At 43.7% G+C, this 22,463-nt stretch overlaps 1 protein-coding gene and 1 long non-coding RNA gene across 5 annotated transcripts in view; one reads left to right on the forward strand and one right to left on the reverse strand.

The window, feature by feature from the left end:
• SLIT3 (slit guidance ligand 3) overlaps window positions 1-22,463 on the reverse strand; it is a 639,400-nt gene that overhangs the window by 224,547 nt on the left and 392,390 nt on the right. The window lies entirely within an intron of this gene.
• On the forward strand, window positions 286-5,858 carry LOC105377713 (uncharacterized). 2 transcript variants are annotated; one of them, XR_941197.3, is made up of 4 exons: window positions 286-419; window positions 5,037-5,203; window positions 5,530-5,572; window positions 5,681-5,858. It is a non-coding gene; the product is annotated as an uncharacterized LOC105377713 (long non-coding RNA). The 2 variants fall into 2 exon arrangements; XR_941196.3 differs by having other exon boundaries at window positions 5,530-5,858.

Here is a 22,463-nt window from a genome sequence, read left to right on the forward strand (position 1 = left end):
TTACTGATGGGGCGTGGAGGAGGGTTCAGGGCTGGGCGCTTCATTTTCGGTAACAGTCCCTTCACAATTATCGCAGGGCCTTTGTGAGAGTTCCTAATAGTGTGTTTATCTCTACGTGGTGCCAGAGCATGGAGCTATCATTAAGTACTATCCTCGAGAGAGACAAGAGCCACCATTTTCCACTGACACTTAAATAAAAATAACAAAATCTATCCACGATGCCCAAGAGCCTAGCGCTGGCCAATTTCCTGTTGGGGTTTTAGTGTCTCCCCTTTCACGAGGGAAGCAGCTCAGGGCTGAGGAGGGCAGACATGCTCAGAAGTGACCTGAGAAGGGGATTTTTGTTTTTCTAAACACTAGAAGAAAGGCATGAGATTGGAGTAGGGTGCAGGAGTGGGAGGTGTGCAGTATTTTTCTGGGTAAGTAAAGGAAGATGGCTGGTGGGAAAGGCTTTCTTGGTTGGGGAGTAGGGCTAGGAATTGGGATGCCTTTTTAAATAATTAGGGCTCTGAGAGAAAAGGAGAACTGCATTAGCTAAAGTGCATTTTCCAGCTTCCGGAAAATGATTAACCAACTGATTATTCCATCCAAAAACACAAGACCAAAGAGGACTTATTAAGGAGACAGTAAGTCAAATAGGAGTTGGCAAGAACCAATATATCCCCCTTCCAGCCACCCTCCCCACCTTTTTAATTTACTAAAATGCTTTGGACACAGATTAACTTTCTTCGCAAATTTATTATTGCTTCATCTACCCTTGAAATGGGAACTGCAGACACTTTGATAAATGGATTGAAAGGCTGTCTAGTTCCAGTGGAGCTTTTGAAATGCTTCCTGGGGCTCTCCCTGCAATGTCAGGCATGCTTTGTTCTTGGAGGAGCAGAGAATGACAGTTCCCACCTTCACCCCTACCCCTGCAAGACTAGGAGGAGGAACATGTTCTCCTCTTTGCCCTGCTGGGGACAATGCACTTGTCTTGGTCACATTCATGCTACCAGGAAATCCTGTCTGTGTTAAATGGCAGTTGGTGGAGGGAATTTGATCCTAGAGGTCACTCCCAAATTAATTCCGAAGCTACAAAATGGGGTTTGGAAGTTCCTCAAAACTTGGAGATTTCTTGTTTCTGAAGTGGGTGGGGCTAATTATGAGCTGTATGATCATTCAAGTTACTAAAATGCTCTTTGCCTCAGTTTCCCCATCTTTACAGTGGGGTTGTTAGTTTTACTAACCTCATCAGTTAGTTGTGAGAGCGAAATGATTACACGTAGAGCACCGTGTGGAATCATTTGCACATTAGTTGTGTGAATCTGGTCAACTGCATGACTCTGTCTCACATCTCCAACTGTCAAATGGGACTGCTTTCCTAAGTCATACGGATAGTGCGCCCAGAAACATCACAGTCCCACCTGGAAGTCTATACAGGTGCCATTATGACTTATTAGACTACAGCTTGTAGTGCTCTGCAGAGCACTCTGCACAGCACCTAGAACACCGTAGGCACTCAATGAATAGCTGCATTTCCTTTTTGTAATTTCCTCCCATTTAGCACTGGATTGACATTGCTGAAAATGTCCTTTTTCAGCACCCCCAGGACATATGCCTTCAACTCTACAAAGAATAAAATACGTAAATGTTGCTGTACTCTTTCCATAAAATCTGAGGGAGGGATTAAAAAGTTTCTCTCCTCTGTCATCTAGACAGGGGTAGCCATGTTTGATTCTAGATTCTTTTGGATAAAACAAGAGAGCTGGATTCAGAAATAAGAGGTCTGTCTTATGTTGGGTTCTCTCAGAAACAGACACCGAGCCAAGGACACGGGGGTTAAGTGATTAATGAAGTGCTCCCGGGAGAGACCAGTGAGGATGGAAACCTAATGGAAAAGGCAAATAAAAGTACAATCAGGTGAAGTCTTGGCCTTAGCCCAATATGATGGGGAACTCCTGTCTCTGAGCAAGGGAGCTGGGCTTCTGCAGCCCTGCATCAGACAGTCCTTGGTTAGGGACCACTCAAGAGAAATGTAAACTCCCAGGCTCTGCCTGCCCTCCATGAATGCTGGGTATGGTGACTCCAGCAACCCAAGGACAGATTGCTGAAGATGTTCCCAGCTAGGAGACTTTAGCAGTGAAGTTCAAAGAAGCAGGTGATAGGACCCAGTAGCAACAGAAGGAACCCAAGGGGATCCACCCCAAAGTATTCCTAAGAAGGCTTCGGGGATAGTTCTGAATCTACAAGTCCTCAGCAGATTAAAATATCACTCTCAAAAGACGGCATATCTAGGACCACAGATCAAGAGGCTACAAGGGAAACTAACTGACCAAAGAATGTGGGAACAACCCAATCTGGCATCTGATGAGGTTTGCACTTCTTTGACTACCTCTTCAATCCCTCTGCACTGAGACCAATGTGGTGCCTTTTCAATAACATTAAAAAAAATTCCATCAACTCTTGATTAGTTAGGCTAAAATAGGGGATGATCTTCAAAGCATTTATGTTTGGAACCATTATTGGATTTGGGATCAGGGCAGTGAATTACCATTCTGATTCTCTTTGGCCTGAATATATATTAAAATTACTTTCACATTCTCTGCCCAGTAGGAGGAAACCTGCCCATTGGTGCATTCAGTATCAATCAAAACTCATTTAGGGATTTAAAAAATTTTGACAGATAATCTACAAATCTAAAATTTCCTGTACTCTCAATACTACCATCTTACATAAAGCTGCACTCTTTCTTCCTGCCCCCTGAACCCCAACTTTCTAATATATAGTAACCCAGTGACACATCGCTCTGTGCTAGGAGCTAAAGGGAAAGACACTGTTTTGCTTACTTTATTTTATACAGCAGGAGGGACAAACATGCAGGAAAAATTATCCCCTGGGGATTCTACAATGTGGACTTCAGGGAAGATTTATCTTAATAGGTACATCTCTTCTGCAGGCAATTTATCTTAATAAGCAAGATTGTATGTTTGCAGTTGGGTCACTGTCAAAATCAAATGAGCACCAAGCATATGTCCCAGCTAAGCTCTGGTACCTCCAGCTGGGTGTCTAGTCAATGGCAGCCTTTGTCTGAGGAAGATTACAATGGAGTAATGACTAATTTCCTGAAAGAACTGACACCTATCTCAGGGATCCAGGGAATCAAAGTATCAATGGGGGACAAAAAAACGCCAATTATTTCCCACTGCTCCAGTTGTGTTTCTGAATATTTCATTGCAGTGAGAGTTTACTTTACGTGTTCCCTTGAGGTTAAAAAGTTACTGGATGAAGGATATCAATAAAAGCTCCTTCTGCAATCCTTTCCCTCACAGATTCATCAGAAAAGTCCTGGCCATGCCATTCAGATGTTTAATACTGATGGATTAAGTGTCAGCTCAGATGCTTATTTCCCTCAAAAATGAATTGAATACCTACTATGTGTTCCACTATGGTTGAAGTTGAGATAGAAAAGTGGATAGTCCTAAGTTTCTGTCCTCCTGCAGTTTACATCCTTATTTATCCCAGATACAAAGAAATAGACCCCCTTACTTCTACAAATATAAAATAAACATCTAGACACCTCAAAAAGTGAGAGCAAGGATGGGTGGCCGCTCATGCCTGTAATCCCAGCACTTTGGGAGGTTGAGGCGGGTGGATCACCAATGTCAGGATTTCGAGACCAGCCTCGCCAACATGGTGAAACACCAACTCTACTAAAAATACAAAAATTAGCCAGGCGTGGTGGTGGGCACCTGTAATCCCAGCTACTGAGGCTAAGGCAGGAGAATGGCTTGAACCCGGGAGCGGGAGGTTGCAGTGAGCCAAGATCACACCACCGCACCCCAGCCTGGGTGACAAGCGAGACTCCATCTAAAAAAAAAAAAAAAAAAAAAAGAGAGAGAGCACCAGTTTCACTGTTTCTCCGTTTTATCCAGAAGAAAGCTTGTCTCTAAACTCACACTATGGATTGCTCCCAGACCAAGCAAAAGATTTTACAGTTTATTTTAGCTGGGGCCCAAAATCTTTTTAAATTTTCGGAAGGAAAAGAGAGAGATGCCAATCTGAATCAAGAGGACTCACAGGGAATGCAGGCTTGTTTCATCAGGTACTTTGGTTTTATCTTTCAAGGTGGACAGTTTGAGAAAAATCAGAATAGTACAAAGATATTATCAAGAATTGGGATGGTATGGGGCTGTTGTTGTCATAGAATAATCTTCTGATCAGATAGACCATGAACCTTGCTATGAGAACAAAATACACATTCATTCCTGTTAATTTTTAAAAATTTAAAGTGAGAATAGAATTGTGGTTATGTTTTCTTTCATTTATGTCTTTATCTTTGAGAGATACATACTGAAATAATTAAGAATAAAATGATCTCTAAGTTTTGCTTCAAAATAATATAGGAGAGAAAGAAGTGGTAGAAGAATAGATGAAACAAGGTTGGCCATGGGTTGATACTTATTGGAGCTTGGCGATAAGTACAAGGGAGTTTCATTTATCATCTGTGCTTTGCTTTTATGTATGTGTGACATTTTCCATAATAAAAAAAGCATGCAGATTCCTGGGGTCCATCCCAAACCTACTGAATCAGAAACCCTAAGGATGGGCTTCAGTCTAATTTTAAACAAGTTTGAGAACCATGGGTGGAATGATGATTGCATCGGATTAGGTGCTAAGTTCACATCCCGGTTCTGCTACTCAACATGCTGTGTGTCTTTAAGAGCACCAGTTCAATTCTCTGAATCTCAACTTGCACTTCTAAGAAACTGGGATAGGCATCAGAGATAATGGACAAGCGAGTGCTTTCTAAACTCTTATGCAGTATATAATGCAAATTCCTATCTTCATGTTCTAGCATGAAGTTCACAAATATAGCATCCTACTACCTTAAATGTTAAAGTCTAATTTTAGGGAAAATTTTGGGAGCAGGATGCAAAGGCCTCCTGTGTCTCAGACATGAGACTGCTGATGTTGGGCAAAATGCCTGTGGGATAGGCAGAGGCACAGGAGAAGGCTGAAGTGGGGAGAATGATGACATTTAATCTGTATTTCAGAAAGCCACTCAGGAGCCCGGGGAGGCTGACCTAGAAGGGTAAGAGTCCATGGATGGTTACACCCTCCCCTGGGAGCCAGAGACGTGGCAGAAGAAAACCAAGCACTTTGTCCTTGGACTCCTTCAAGCTTGGAGGGGAGACTGGTTGCTGGGATTAGGACATTCCTGGTAAGGCCTCACAGACCAGGGATTCCCTACAGTTTTCTAGGAAGGCTGAAATCTGGGAGAAATCACTAGAGGGCAGGTGATGAACAGGGCTGAACAGCCAGGCTGAGAAACAGTCCTGGAGCTGTGACTGAGGGTGAAGGCCTGAGGTCCAAGCACTATGGAGATAAGATGCTTGGTCCCAGGGGAGCATTCTGACCAAAGGGAAAAAGGAAAAGAACCTGTTAGGCTGCAAGCTTCTACAAAATGCTACAGATGGAGTTGAGATTATAGGTTTGCTCTGTGACTAGTTACCAATACGAGTGCCTGTTTTGTCTCTTTCTGGGCAGGTGTTCCAAAGATTGCAAACTCAGATGCTTCAGGGTTGTGCAGGTAAAGTAAATGAGGAAGTCGGGCTGCATGTGGACAACAGGAATAGTCAGAAAGCGAGCTGGGGATGTTATTTCAACAAAATCAAAACCAAATAACTCTCTGTGCCAGCCAATTGGATGCTTCACCCTGGGAAGAACTTGGCCTGCAGGCTCAGATTTGTGACCAGTGAGGATGCAGAGACTGTCACCTCCTCAGGGGCGATCTGCTAATTCTAGAATGGCGCTGTCCCACGGAAATATATCACAAGCCAAGAATGCAATTTAAAATTTTCTATTAGCCATATTAAAAACAGTAAAAAGAAACAGTTGAAATTAATTTTAATATGATATTTAACTCAATATATCCAAAAGATTGCCATTTCAAGATGTAATCAATATAAACATTTATTAATGAGATGCTTTGCATTCCTTTTTTCATTCCAAGTCTTTAAAGTCTGATGTGTATTTTACACACACCTCAATCTGGACTGGCCACATTCTGAGTGCTCAGTGATCACACATAGCTAGTGCCTACTATATTGGACAGTATGTTTTAGAATAAGGAACTTGATGCTGTAGCTACGCAGCATCTCATTGCCAAAGGAGGGAAAAAGTCTTCAGATGTTGGAACCAATCTAAGGAGCCCGATACAAGACTGCTTGGGGGTTCTGAGTATACAGATAGGAAATGTGGAGGAAAATCAGTCAAGGTTGAAAGCCCTGAATCCAGGGCAGCAAGCCATGGTTTAGAATATTCCATTCATTCAGCCATTCCTCCTGTGAACAGATACCTCTTTGCAGCCATAGGATTTAATCTGAGTTTTTCCAAACCACCACTCTTCCAGGGCTATCAGAGTTAACTGATGCTTCCAGTCCAAACGGAAGCTTTCTTCATTTAATTATCATATGCAACTCCAACTAAGGCTCTTTGTGTTCATGAAACAGCATTATAATTGACTGATCATCTCCAGCAAATGGGACAGAGGCTGAGCTTCTCAACAGCTCACTAATCCCTGGGATTATCTCAATTTAGCGACAAGGCAGTTAGTTACATTAGGTGGGATTGGGGAGCTCTCATTATCAGCCCAATTATGCCCTCTGTTCTGGTCCAGGCTTCCCTGTGTCACTAAGTGGTCCAGGAAATATCAGTGGGGTTCCAACCACAGGCGTCTGATTCCACAGTCCACACGTACCTCATTATATACACTTCAGGGGGTACAACTGCGATTTTGGTGTCTTCACATTGTGTGCAGAAATCTGGTGCTGAAAATCATCTGATTGTAAAGATCTAATTGAGTACCTGAGATAGTCCCCTGCCAATTTTGGACCCAATGAGAAGTTCTGGTTTAATTTATCAACCTTGGTTGGGTGTGGACAGGGAGCTTGTTCACCTGATTCAAAAGGATGGAGACTGGCGTTTTGTTTATCTCTTATTGTTTGAAGCTGTGTGTCTGCCCAGTGGGGTTTGGGAAAGGGAACCCATTTCTATACAATCTATCCTCCTCTGAGGCTGACATACTGGTCCCCACCCCCTCTGTCCCTTTTCCTTGGCAGCCATCTGAGGCTTTCATCCCTAATTTGATTGTCATAGCTAACACTGTCAATCTGAAATCCAGTAGCATGTCTAATGCTGGCTGGACAAGGGGAAGGCAGGGGAAGGCAGGGGGAGGAGAGGGGGAGGCAAATTCATCTCAAGAAGTAGCTTTATGTAAATCGATCCTTTGGCCCGAAAGCTGGAGCCAAGCATTTGCTGATTAATTGGAGAAGCGTCCTTGTTCCCGTGTCTTCTTTAGAGAGATGGCCCAAATTGAGTCCTCTCTTCTTCACAAAGACATTCCCATGCCAAAAAGCTTTTGCAATTAGGAGATGAAATCTTGTGAGTGAGGGGGAGGTGGCAGGGGCAGGGGAACGTTTATGAAATTGTTCTGAAATGAAGTGTGTGCATTTGGCCTGCTCTGTGATTAATTGCTGACCTGGGCCCCCTCATTTGCCTCCTAGGTCTGTGGCCTGATAGCCTAGGTTCAGAGGCATAGTATCCCATAGGTGAAGATCTACTTATGTGATAATTAGCAAAAATTAAGGGGATGGGGAGTGTGCTTCTAACATGTTTTTCTTAAATTTATATTCTCAGTTACCACTTGGGCCCATTTCTGTTGGTGTCAGGAAGGAGGGGAGTGAGGCTGATTGATTCAACCTCTTTTCTACATCCTCTTATCTTTTCCTGAAAAAGAAAGCTCAAATAAAATGGCAGATCCTCCACCAAGGTGGTCTTTTTTAACTCAGTAACTTGTCCCAGGGCCCTGTCAAATTTGACTTTATCAAAAAACCTAAAGGCAGAGTAGCTACCTGGGCACAGGAAAGAGTAAGTTTGGTTTTGGAAAGGTTGCTGGTTGCTTCACCATGCCGACTATGGGGAGGTTGGCAATGTAGTGTTTTATGATGGCTCTCTGACTAAATTATTAGCTTCGTGTAGGCAGGAGCATTTGCTCAGCATGAGGCCTGATGCATAGCTTTAAAAAATTTAAGTGGATAAAAAAAATAAGTGAACATGATTTTATGCCATTGCTTGGTCCATGGATGACTGAGAATACATCTCAAGCTATGGGAATCTTTTTTTCCCCCAAGTCCAGTTTGTCCCTTTGGATTACAAAGAGCTCTGGCTGTCCTCCTCCATCCTTCTACCTCTACAACCCTGGTGGCATACCATGCTTGAGAACTAATGCTCCTAGAACAGGCTTGTGAACTAAGGAGCCACAGATAAAGCCTTTGATGGGGAAAGGTTTAGTGAGCTAAGCTGAGGCGTGGGAATGAGCAGTTACAGTGGGAAGGTAGGCTAAGTGGACAGATAACTTGATTTTTCGGAATACAGATTAAACCTGGCCTGAGAGGGTACAATAGATTTGGAAAATGCATTCAATCCAGAAAAGGGCTGTGTGCCTGACAGCGTTTCATCTCCAAGAACAACTTCTCCCCTCCTCCTTTCTGAATTCTGGCACTCATAGAGATTAGGATAATACAGATAATGAAGCTCAGGTACAGAAGGAGATACTTTAAGCAACAGCCTCCAGGAGATGTTAGAAGAGGGTCATTGGCAGTGAGGAAGTTCTGATGATCTTTGGGATAATCTACACTGTGATCTGACTCCTTCCAGGCAAATTGTCTAAAAGCTCTGGAAACCCTCCCAGAGGCTGAAGATGTACAGAAATAAAGTTGAGGGTTGTAGTGAGGTGAGGAGGTAAGAAAAAGAGAGGAAGTCAGCGGGCTAAGGCACTGCAGTTTGGGAGAAGTTGAAGCCACTTCCTAGTGTCTACCCCACTGTAACCTTAAATGTTCAGCTTGATCATGAAGAAAGGATTCTTGGAACATTGCTCCGGATCTACCTAACCCTAACACTCTTTGTGATATGGCACTAGAGTTCCTCTTATGTGGCCCACTCTGTTCCACTGAGGAAACATGAACATGCCAGGGCAGGGTGGGGAGGGGCTGTGCCTGGGCTGCGGCTGCCCAGAGGTTGGAGTTTGGCAGGCAGCACTGCAGCTCAAGGACATGGGACTTGTATATGTCTGTGCTTTCTTGTAACTTTTCAGAAGACCATTAAACAAGTGAAACCTCAATGGTAGAGGTGAGATGCTATCCTGGGGCCATCTGCTGATAAAATCAGTATGCTTCAGAAAAGCTCAAAATTATCTTCCACCAAAGCAGGAAAGCAATTCAGCAAGAGCTCAGCACCCTGAGTTGCAAAGCTGGCCTCCAGAAGCCCAGTAACGGATGAAATATATAGGAGCTTAAGCCATTAAGCTATGTTAATACTATAGAATGACGTTTCTCATCATGACCCCATGCGCTATTTATTGTTCCATTCAAAGCAATTACAGTTATTGCTAATAACTCACACCTGTGGATGTGCTGATATTGACTACAGGAGAATAGATGCTGTTCTCTTGCTTATTTATGTAAAAATGGATGCAGTTCAATAGATTTACACCAAGTTGGAAGTTAACACTAATAATTAATCCCAGACCTGCTTCTGGCCATTAAGCCTGAAAGGCACTAGACAAGGGACATGAGCACTGGGAGGACCCAATGAACTGCAGAGATGAAATTCATTAGTGACAAATGTGAGACTGCTGCCACTAGTCTCGTGCCAAATAGAATCAACTCCCCTGTCCCCAGCAAAGAGAAAAGGACCTCCAAGGTAGGAGGCAGGGGGGAAACTTCTAAAATGCTTCCTTTGTGTTTCTGAGACTGTTCATCCCCTATAGCCCAAGCCATACTTTTCTTGGTAACTCAACTCCTTGCCTTACATGCCTGCTAGAAGTCGTGCCTATGGCCAAGACCCCAGGAGGCAGTGAGGTACCGTAGTGAAGGCACGGCTCAGGAGCCTAAAAGACCTTGGTGTGAACTCCAGCTTTGTCACTTGCTTGACTGGGCCTCAGTTTTTGCATCTGTATAATGCGGACCATGAAAATACCTACGTGCGGGAATTATTATAAAATAGTTAATGAATTTCGAGTTCATCACATGCTGTGTCCCTCATAAAAAACCAGCACTGGATAAGTACTGGTTCTTATCAGTACTTGCATCTGTTCAAGTCAGCATTCAACACTGTGAGTAAAAGAAAAACCCTGCCTTCTTGCCCCACAGAATATTACAGAGGAACACTAAGACTGTAAAGCAGCAACTCCAGGTCAAGTTCAATATGAAAGAAAGTAGTAATTGGTTTCCATTTGGCCTGTCATGCCTCAAAGCTTTCCTGGGGCCTGCAGGGAGACTCTCTCTCGTGGAATCTACCACAATCTCCCAAAGATGGCAAAGATGGGAACACAGGTTAAAGCCTCCCAGCCCCTACGAGGCTGGTTGGAAAATGGTTGACTGTGCAGCAATTGCTGTGCAGAGGAGAAGTTGGCAGGAGACTCCCACAAAGAGAAGGGAAAAGAAGGGGGGCCTGAAGGGCGTCGGTGGGACAGTGGGAAGACACTGGGAAGTGGCCCCTGCCCAAGCACAGGATCTGGGCCAAGAGCAGAATGTTGGTCCAGCCACTTCTGTGCCGGCTCAGGGCAAGTCAAAGCACCCTTCTGCCTTTCAAAGGAGGCTGGGGTCTGGGTGAGCTTCAAAGGGGTCCAGAGCCGTGCAGGAAAAGCCATCATTATGCAAGGTGGGAATGGGAGGTTCATCTGTCACCACTAAAACAAATTCCTTAGTTGTGGCTACTCTCTTTGGAGAAGGAAATCCTCACAACCCTATTAAACCTGTCTTGGGGCTTACATTTCAATGAAGCATCATCATTACTAGGGTGACTACTATGTACCCAGGGCGTTAGGCATTGCAGGTCAACACTAAGAAAATAAGAAGACAGTCCCTGGGAGCGGACAAGTGGGGTGACAAGTATGATGTCACCTCTGCAAGCGGACCCAGCTGCTTGAGGCAGGACTCCTTGGATGTCTTTCCTCTTTTCCATCTCCAAACCCCATGGAGGAGGCTGCTCCAGGAGCCAGGGACAGACCAGAAAGTCAGCCTCTGAGTGCTGAGGGGCTGAGTCCATGAACGTGTGATCCCTTTAAAGATAGACAGATATAAAGATGAGAGAGAGAGAGAGACAGAGAGAGGGAGAGAAAGACAGTTAAAGAGGGAGACTGACACAGTGGGACAGAGACAATAAAACCAGAGAAAGCAAAAGAGAAATAAAAGTCGGAGACTGAAACACACATACACAGAGACAGTCATTTCACAGAAGAGACCGTGAAAGGAAGAGACACACAGAGAAAGATACGGATGTGAGGCAAAGAGAAAGAGGATGGAGACAGGTGCACGTACACACACACACACACACACACACACACACAAAGGGACATACAGAAAGAGACAGGCTGAGAGAACAAAAGGGAAAGGCCAAGCAAGTATGGGGCTGGCAGACAGAGGTTCTTGCAAAAGATCTTAGCATTTGGGCTTCCCCAGGATCTCCTCCTGAGATTCCTCTGGGGATGAGGACGTGCCATCCTCCCTGGACCCTGCACCGAGCTCAGGTCTCTGTGCTTCAGCCCAGCCTTGTCCTCTGAGACACCCCCCCACCTTTGCATCCAGCCAGAGGGGAGCTCCAGAACAGGGGAAGGTCGGCTGGGGCTTCCCCTAAGCTCCCATCTCCAGCAGCTCCAGTCCTTCCAGTCCCCCTCAGCTCAGAAGCCAGAGACAAGGTTTTGGCAGAGAAAACTTGTGGTTTCAAACTTTTTACATTACAAAGCGAGTTTTTAAAAGCTCCATAAAATTTCAAGGCACATACTTAATGTTCAAATTGCAGAATATATCGATTCCTGCCCATCCTCTAGTATCTTAAGTTTACCCAGAGGACCATTTTATTTAATTAACTTGGTGCTTTATTAATATAAATATTCTCCTATTGATCATAAGAGGGCCTGACAGGCACTCAAGCTGGGTATACATCACCTTCCCTCTGAGCAGCGCCACTTAGAGGAGTGGCTGGCTCGAAATCAAGAAAAGTGGCAGGAAGTGGTCCCCCGGGATGTCAGGCACAGATGAATCTATAGCATTTTTATGGAGGGAGACTTTTTTTTTTTTTTTTTAAAGATCCAGCTCCTCTCTTCTCTTAAAGCAGAAAGCATATGGAAATGAGATATAAAAATGGTCCTGGCTTAGCATATCAATTAAGCATGTCAATACCTTAATTAAATCATTCAACGAATGAGATTTATACCAATGAATATGTTTTATAGTTATAATAGCTTTTTTGGCCACTGTTCAAAATGTCAAATAAATCGTGAAAAGGGGATTAAAAGAGGACATAATTGACGTTCTGAACTGTAGCCAGTTTTTTTCTTCCTTTCTTTCCCTTCATTCATGTGATTTTTGGAGAATGTATATAAAGTAATGGGGCCTATAATGGCTTGGCTTTGTAAGAGTCTTTTTATCCTTCAATTCTAATCCTTCTTATCAACTTTTCTAAGTCTCACACCATTGAACCTGCAAACGCCCTCACTTTCTTCTGGTCCTTAGAGCTTGCTTTTTAATAACATGCAACCAGAGCTCCCTGGTACACCCACAGAAAGGAGAAACAGCCTCCACCCTGACAAAAGCCCAAAGAAAACAGGGTATAAGGTTAAAAGACATTATGTGAGAAGGCTATTACCATAACATCCAAACATTTGGGTAAAAGTATTCTTAATCTCTTTTGTAAAAGTCAGGCTAAAAGCATATTTTCTCTAAATGAGTCAAGAAAGTAAAAATTCTGGCTTCTCTTTTCTTCTCCTACCCTTTTGCTCTTTCAGCTTTTCTAAATCATTTATTCATCAGTTTATTTCTGTAGATAACCACAATTGTATTCCCTTAAGAACAGAAAACAAAGAGAACTTCTAGACAGGTGCAAACCTAAAAACATAAAAAGTGGGCTGGATCTGGTGGCTCTTACCTGTAATCTCAGCATTCTGGGGGGCTAAGGCAGGAGGATCACTTGAGGTCAGAAGTTCAAGACTAGCTTAGGTAACACAGGGAAATCCCATCACTACGAAAAATAAAAAATAGCCGGGCATGGTGGTGTATGCCTATAGTCCCAGCTACTTGGGAGGCTGAAGCAAGAGGATCACTCAAACCCAGGCGTTTGAGGTTACAATGAGCTGTGATCATGCCACTGCACTCCAGCCTGGGTGACAGAGCGAGATCCTGCCTCTTAAAAAAAAGCCCACAAAAAGCAAAGATGACAAGTACATGATGCTGGGCATTTGTACTACTGTTGTGGATCCCTTCCAATAAATCAGAGACAGAATGAATGAAGCTATAAGCATTGCCATGTAGGTTCAGAGTTGTTATCTACAGTGATGATTGCCATAAAGAAAAAGAAAGAAAAGAGTATAAATTTCTTTGGGGCCTTCATGCAATATTTCACAAATATATTTAAAATCTTGGTTAAACGCTTGAGTTCTGAAACCTTAGCCAGGCCATTGGATGGAACATTGCCCCTAAGATGACAGGAAGCAGGAAGTGGGCACCCCTTGGACTTCTGTGCTCTGTGATGTCCCTGAGGCTCTGGCCTATGAGGCTGTGTCTGTGGTCTCTCACCCTTTCACCACTAACCCCCTCCCAGTTCCTGAGGAATGGTGGCTCCACACAGAGGCCCCGGGAAAAGAGAAGCGAGAATATTCATTCTCTGTGAATAGACATTTTGCAAAATAAGGCATACAAATGGCCAGAATATATACCTAAAAACTGCTCAACATCACTAATGCAAATTAAAACCACAATGAGATATCATACCCCAGTTAGAATGGCTATTACTAAAAAGTCAAAAAATAACAGATGCTGGCAAGGATGCAGAGGTAAGGGAGCACTTATACGTGGTTGGTGGGAATGTAAATTAGTACAACCTCTATGGAAAACAGTATGGTGATTTCTCAAAGAACTAAAAATAGAACTACCCATTCAATCCAGCAATCCCACTACTGGGTATCTACCCAAAAGAAAAGAAATTATTATATAAAAAGATACTTATGGCCTGGTACAGTGGCTTATGCCTGTAATCCCAGCACTTTGGGAGGCTGAGGTAGGCAGATCACCTGAGCTCAGGAATTTGAGACCAGTCAGGGCAACGTGGTGAAAACTCATCTCTACAAAAAATACAAAACTTAGCTGGGTATAGTGGTATGTGCCTGTAGTCCCAGCTACACAAGAGGTGGAGGTAGGAGAATTGCTTGAACCTGGGAGGCGGAGGTTGCAGTGAGCCTAGATTGTGCCATTGCACTCCAGCCTGGGAGATGGGAGTGAAACCCTGTCTCAAACAAAACAAAACAAAACAAAACAAAACAAAAACAATTGCACTTGTATGTTTATCTTAGCACTATTCACAATAGTAAAGATATGGAATCAACCTAAGTGTCCATTAATGGATGATTGGGTAAAGAAAATGTGGTATATATACACAATGGAATACTATTCAGCCATAAAAACGAATGAAATCATGTCTTTTGCAGCAACATGGATGGAACTGGAGGTCATTATTGTAAGTGAAACAAGTCAGACATGGACAAATTTCACAGGTTCTCACTTAGAAGTGGAAGCTAAACAATGTGTACACATGGACATAGAGGAGAATGACAATGGAGCCTCAGAAGCGTGAGGGGTAGAAGGTGGCTGGATGATGAGAAATTACTTAACGGGTACAATGTACGTTACTGGGGTGACGGATATCCTAAAAGCCCTGACTTCATCACCCTGTGATGTGTGCATGTAACAAAATTGCAGGCCAGGCACAGTGGCTCACATCTGTAATCCCAGAACTTTGGGAGGCCGAGGCAGGCGGATCACGAGGTCAGGAGATAGTCCATCCTGGCTAACATGGTGAAACCCCGTCTCTACTAAAAACACAAAAACAAAATTAGCCAGGCGTGGCGGCGGGCGCCTGTAGTCCCAGCTACTCGGGAGGCTGAGGCGGGAGAATGACGTGAACCTGGGGGGCGGAGCTTGCAGTGAGCTGAGATGACACCACTGCACTCGAGCCTGGGTGACAGAGTGAGACTCCGTCTCAAAACAAAACAAAACAAAACAAAACAAAACAAAATTGCACTTCTACCCCATAAGTTTATACAGATAATAATAAAAAGAATCTCCATCCTCAACCCAACAACCCAGTCAGTCCTCCCAGTTTGACTTCCTTTGCTGACATGATCTTGCCATGATTAGGGAAGAGGACCAACACCCCAACTATTACTGATCCTATTAAAAAGGAAGCATCTTTTTTTCAGAACCCATAATTATCAACAAATTTTAGAGCTAAAAGATCCAACCATCTTGGTTTACAGATGAGAAAATTGAGGCTCCGAAAGAAAAAGGACTCGCCCAAAGTCATATAGCCTAAAGCAAGAACACAGGTCCTGACTGTGTGGAACACTCTGATCCTCCCTGTGTGTCTCTCTGCTGTATATAAAGAGGGCAGGGCGTGAGGGAAGTCTGGGTGGAGCAGCTGATCTGGCTAACTAGGCAGGTGCCCTCTCTCCTTGGCTACCTCTTTGCCATATGCCCTGTGACATTTGAATAGACAGTCCTCCTAGTGCTCTGCCCATAGTTGAAATGGATATTCTTTGAGATGGAGTCTCACTCTGTCACCCAGGTTGGAGTGCAGTGGCGCGATCTCGGCTCACTGCAACCTCTGCCTCCCAGGTTCAAGTGATTCTCCTGCCTTATAGCTGGGACTATAGGTGTGCATCACCATGCCCAGCTAACTTTTGTATTTTTAGTAGAGACGGGATTTCACCATTTTGGCCAGTATGGTCTTGATCTCTTGACCTCATGATCTGCCCGCCTTGGCCTCCCAAAGTGCTGGGGTTACAGGCATGAGCCACTGTGCCTGGCCTGAAATGGATAGTCTTTCTAGATCCATGTACCTGTCCATTCATCCAAATATTAACGAACATTTGTTAAACACCGTATGCCAGGCACAGTGTCAGGCAAAAGGCATAGGTGGGGAACATTATAGATCTTTGTTTATAAAGCTTATAGAATTGTAGGGAAGATAGACGTAAGAAAACAACTGTACAGATAAGCGTTTATACTTTTGTTACGTGCTGTAAAGAAGTACAAGATGTTTGTATGATGGGAATATGCACAACAGGAGAGCTCAATGCGTGATAAGCAGTCAGAGGAAGTACAGCTTAAACTGAGAAGTGAAGGAAGAGTAGGAATTATGCAAGGGAAGGGTGTGTGTTAGTGGGGGACTGATGCAGCCGTTCTCAAAGTATGGTCTCTAGACCAGCAGCATTTGTATCATCTGGGAACTTGTTAGAAATGGGAAATGCTCAGATCTAATCTCAGCTGTTCTAAATCAGAAGCTCTGGGGTTGGGGCACAACTGCCTGTGCTTTAAATAACCCCTCCATGTGATGCTTATGAGCACCAAAGTTTGAGAATCCACTGGTGTAAAGCTTGCTGGGCAGAGGGGACACTGCACGAGGATTCTGAGGTGGCTGAGCACATGACATACATGAATTTGAGAAGCAGATGAAGGTGACTGTGGTTAGCATGGGCAGGGGAGGCTGTTGAATGAGAATGGGGGTAGTGGCTGAGTGAATGAGAATGGGAATAGCGGCTGATTAGGAGGACAGGAGGTGATGGGCAGATGGGATCTTATTTGGATATGATCTGAGGACGAGAAGGAGCCATGGAAGGGTTTCCAGCAGGAGAGAGTGTAGTTCTTCATTGACTGTTGATGAGAATCTCTAAGCCAACATCACTCAATCAGCAGACCAACAGGCACAGGTTTTCCTTGTGCTGATTTGAAGAGCCAATTAAAAAATAACTGATATTTCAGCTAATTCATATTTACATGTAAATTTTCATTTAAAAAGCCACAGACTGGCACTCTCTCACCATATGCCTCTTCCTCGTTCAGTTCTCTGCAGTGAGGGATAAGCCGTGAGTCTCCACATACACATAGGGCTGGAGATGAAAAGACAAGGAATTCACAAGCAGCCAGGCTTCCTGGGGGTGCAAACCTGGTGTCCCTGGAAGCTGAAATTTCCTGTTCCAGCACAGTTTTCCCTGTCAGGGCTTTAGTTATTTTGGCATTTTCTGATGAGTTATAAACCTCTCAGCACCTGTGTTTCATTTGAGGTGAGAGCTGGATCCCATTCTCTAGATCAGAGGGCTGAGGCTTTGCAGCATGATGCCAAGGTCACAGTAAGCCAGGGCATGACCCCTGACTTGCCTGCTCTTTGTTCTACCTGCTCGGGCAAAAAGAGGACACCTGTGGGGGCATGGAGTGAAGGACGGGGGCAGCAGGGTCTTCAGGAATGGTCCTTCTGCTGTGCATGCATGGCTGGAACACAAAGGCCTGTCTCTGGCCCTCCTGGAGGGCCTTGCCCATCTTGTTCCTTTCTTCTCCTCTCTGTTATTGTCCCTGACCTCCCACTATGATCCCCCTCTACAATTCATAAAGATCAGAGAATCATGGCGGTCCCTCCCAGCACCTCGTTCACTGGTTTGAATTATTATTAAATAACCAAATGTAGAATTGTTTTGTCAAATGGGCATTTCCATAAAACCTTGATGTACAGAAATCATCACACTGAAGCTTCTCTGATCGAAGTGGGGACACTGGGTGGGATGACAGGGGAACTGAGTTTGTTGAACCCCAGTAGCTTAGAGCACTTTGATGTATTTTGGACCTTACCAACCCCTTCAATTTACTACTGTGGAGGCTGAGGCATGAGGTAAATACCTTGTGTGAGGCACTTGGCAAAGTGGGAACTGAAACTGAGGCCCTGTTGCCCCTGTGTCCAGCGCCCTCCTCATTCTCACTCCGCTCCCAGAAGCTTAGAGATGTGCTGAGTAGGGGGAGACAATGAAGACTCAAAGTTTTGTTCGCCTGCACTTGCTGACTACCATGCCAACTTGGGGATCACACATTCTGGATTAAAAAAATAAACCTTTGTTTCCCTCCTGGACTTTTCTGCTAAGTTTGCTTCTGGTAGAAGACTGGTGAGAAGGTTCCAATGGGGGGAAATAAACCAAATAGACTAATTCTCCAGTCCTGATAATCAGTCTTTTGGTATTCACAGCAACAAATCAGCTCCCCTCAGAGAGGCAGTTATAAAATATCAAAGCCTCTGACTCTCCTCTGTGGGGCTAATCCAGAAAATCTTACTTTAGAAATAACAATAATAATAATAATAATAATAATAATACCTCATTCATCTTTACTTATCATGTGCTAGTATGTTTCTAAGCCTTTTGGCATAGCCTTCAATGTCCCTTTCTGAATATAGAAAAAACTCCCAGACTTCACTGCAAAATGCTAATTCCAGCTCTGGGGACAAGAATGACGTCAGGAAGGTGAACTGCTATGGAGATCATACATTTCTGATAGACATGTGTGTGCAATTAGAGAAACCCCAAACAAGAGGGATCAGGCCTCTGGTCTCTGGGGGAGGGCAGTTTGTGCCAGTTTCAGCAGCACAAGGACGCCCCAGGCTGCCACAGGAGTTCTAGACATTCCTGGGGTTTTCTCAATGTTACAAACTCACAGCCTTCTTTACAAAGATGGTGATATCCGGCTGGGTGTGGTGGCTCACGCCTGTAATCCTAGCGCTTTGGGAGGCTGAGGCGGGCAGATTGCCTGAGCTCAGGAGTTTGAGACCAGCCTGGGCAACATAGTAAAACCCCATCTCTACTAAAATAAAAATAAAAATAAGAAATTAGCTGGGCGTGGCAGCGTGCACCTGTAGTCCCAGCTACTTGGGAGGCTGAGACAGGCGAATTGCTCGAACCCGGGAGGCGGAGGATGCAGTGAGCTGAGATCATGCCACTGCACTCCAGCCTGGGGACAGAGCGAGACTCCATCTCCAAAAAAAAGAAAAAAAATGGGGATGTCCAAACCCTGCTCATCAACAGAGGTGCACCCATGAAGCACCATAAGAGCATAATCCCTTTCTATCCTTTTTCCTCCTCCATGTTGCTGGCTGATTGGGTGCAAATGTACCTAGATCCTCCCCAGTCAGAGGGCCTTTCTATTTTTGTCAACACCTGTATGCTTGCTGGTGCAGCCTTCTTCTTTTGAAAATTGTTTTTTCATTATCAAGATATCCTTAATATTTTGTTAATCAGAAGGCAAGTTATTCAACAGTAGTGAAGTACGATCATGTATCTGCAAAGAAAAGGCAAGGAAAGTAGTGTGTGACTATAAAATATGAGGAGTCATGGTTCAGGTCTGTACACAGACTCGGAGAGGTGAACACATCTACAGTGTGCTCATCTCAACTTCAAAACATCAGAAGCAGGTACTGCTATTCTGGTTTTACATATATAGACACTACAGCTCAAATACTAGGCAACTTTCCCTAGGGTACAGGGAAAAGTGGTATTGGAATTCCACATGTCTGTCTGCCTCCAGAAACTCGTATACCCCTTGCTGAACCACAGCGTTTCCTTGGAGGAGCCTGGGTTAGCATGCCTGCCCTGCCTTTCCACCATCACCCATTTAGAAAGAAGGAAATATTTAGGCACACGTGGGCACAGAGATGATGTCTAGACTTTTTGACTTTGGAAAGAAGAAGGTGGTATCTCCCTGATTTAATATTACCAATCATTCTGGAGTGCCAGGAAGCAAAGCATTAAAGGAGGTGAACGCGAAAGAGATACGAAGATCTATTGAGGACTCAGCTGGAGCTGTAGAAACAGCAAGTCCTGAACTCTAATCATCAGCAAGCCCGAATTTCCACCCCACATTCCATGGAGTCTGCAAAATAGGGTAGGTGGTGTGTTTTTTCATAAGGAAGAGATCACATTCCTCTCCCCACCTTGCCCAATATTTTAATGTTCAAGAAAGGAAAGAAGAATGAAAAGAAAATCTGAACATACCGTACTATGCTATTATACTTAAAAATACAGTAAGGATTAAAACTGCCAGACCAAATTAAAACTAATGACTGGTTTGGTGCGACCCTTCCTTGCCTTTGTGTTGCCCATTGTCTCTAGCGATAAAGGAACATCACAGGCAATTTATTGGGAGCTATTCTCAAATGAATTGCATTTGCTGAGAAAAGCACATTTAGCATTTGGTGATTCATACATGGGAAACATTATTGCTCTGGAAAAGAGTTTAAAATAAGTGAGATTTAGAGCTCAGAGAACGAAAAAACAGAGAGTTTAATTTTCTTAAAATACCTGCATCCATTATGTGTTTGTGCATGACTGTGAATTTGAATGCAAGTGCATCAGAAAAGGTCTGCTGAGATCCCAAACCGTCACAGGGGTTACCTCTACGTGGATAAGTGGCCTTGGGAGAAGAGGGTTTAGTGGGAATCTTCTATATATATATTTTTTTCCGAAATAGAGGAAAAGAAAAATTTCTGGCCAAAAACATGTACTTTGTAACTCTAGATATTTCTGCATTTTAAATCATTTTAATAATAAAGTGTTTATAGGTTGTGTGTGTTTGAAAGTTGAAATTCAGGGAATGATTGTATTTTTGAAGTGCCCTTTGTCCTTGGGAGCAAGGCAGGGATTGATTTTTTGTTTATTTATTTATTTAATTAATTTATTTATTTGAGATGGAGTCTCACTCTGCTGCCCAGGCTGGAGTGCAGTGGTGTGATCTCGGGTCACTGCAACCTCCACCTCCCAGGTTCAAGCGATTCTCCTGCCTCAGCCTCCCGAGTAGCTGGGACTACAGGTGCACGCCACCAAGCCCGGCTAATGTTTTGAATTTTAGTGGAGACAGGGTTTCACTGCATTGCCCAGGCTGGTCTTGAATTCCTGAGCTCAGGCAATCCACTCGCCTTGGCCTCCCAAAATGTAGGGATTACAGGCATGAACCACCGCGCCCAGCTGGGATTTTTTTATACTTTCTCACCAGTCTTTTAAGTCTCTGTGCTCCACAAGGCTGACAGCAGCCTTTCTGCCCTACCTAGCCCTGTGTCGGTGCAGAGCCACAGCTTTGGGTCAGCTTGGAGGGGTAGTCTCAGCCATAAGGCCTCACACTGACAGGCTGACCATAAGAGCCTAATTCCTTTCTATCCTTTTTCCTCTTCCACGTTGCTGGTTGATTGGTTGCAAATGTACCTAGATCCTCCCCAGTTAGAGGGCCTTTCTTTCTTATGTAGTAAAGTATAATCATGTATCTGCAAAGAAAAGGCCAGGAAGGTAGTGTGTGACCATGTTAAGTGCCATCAGTCGTGAGTTCTGGGTTTGTGATAAAACGAATGACTTCCATTTTCCTCTTTTTGATGACTAGTCATGTCCAAGCTTGCTTCAGTGACTTCAATGACTGTGTATTACATGTATGATAAAGAAATGCATTTATTATTTCCTGAAAGAAATACATATAGCATAGCACATTTTGGAAAACACAGGAAGCGTAGAAGCAATTACCTGTAGTTTTTCTGTTCAAAATAACCACTGTAAATATTTTGCTTATTTCTTTCAGTCTTTCTTCTATGGATAAATTATCTGTTTATACATACACATGTATGTGTGTATAGAGAACGAGGTTTCATTACACACATACACATATAAGTATACATATATCTATATCTATAGATACATATAGATATATGATATATATCATATATATATAGATCTATCTATATCTATTTTATATATATATTATACGTGTATATATATATATATATATATATATATATATATATAGAGAGAGAGAGAGAGAGAGAGAGAGAGGTGGGGGGTTTCATTTCATATTCTTTTTTCACCAAACATCACAAACTGGGTGGCTGTACACAGGAGAGGCAAGGAGACTTTCATTTTATACCCTTTTATATCTTTTGAATTTTGAATCATTTGAATGTAATGCCTATTTTCCAATAAATTAAAATATAATTCCATATTGCAGTAAGCATTTTCCATGCTGTTGCATTCTGAATACTCGTCTTTTTAAATGGTTGCATTATATTCCTTGCAAACATTTTGGAAGGGACAGTGTCTATGGCAGATGCTTAGCAGTGGTAGACGAGTCACCTGGGTCGTCCTGACCTTCTCATACCCTTGCCCTCTCCTAATCTGTCTGAATGCCATGCAGTCCACGGTTTGGTCTGCGGAAGAGTGAGGGCAGGTTTCCAGCAGAGATGATGTCACCCTGTGGGAATGAATTGTGATGTCAAGACGGATGAGCGGTGGAGAGGACGGGAGACACTGAAGAGCCTGAATTAATAGTGTCTCCAATTCCCAGACCTTTCGTGGACTGCACTGCTAAACTGAGAAGGGAAGCAGTGCTCTGGATTGATTGTTCCTGAGGTGGCTCCAGGGACTTCTCCCTGCTTTTAAGACAAGGGACTTTGGAACACCTATAATCAGGGTAACAAACTGCAAGGGAACAAGGCAAAGACCTGCACTTGAAAGCAACTCTGAGGACCAGCAAGCAGGGTTCATTACAGAACTCCTTTATCCTGAAATCATACGAAAA

The sequence above is a fragment of the Homo sapiens genome, chromosome 5, assembly GCF_000001405.40.
Source record: "Homo sapiens chromosome 5, GRCh38.p14 Primary Assembly".
Taxonomy (NCBI): Eukaryota; Metazoa; Chordata; class Mammalia; order Primates; family Hominidae; genus Homo; species Homo sapiens.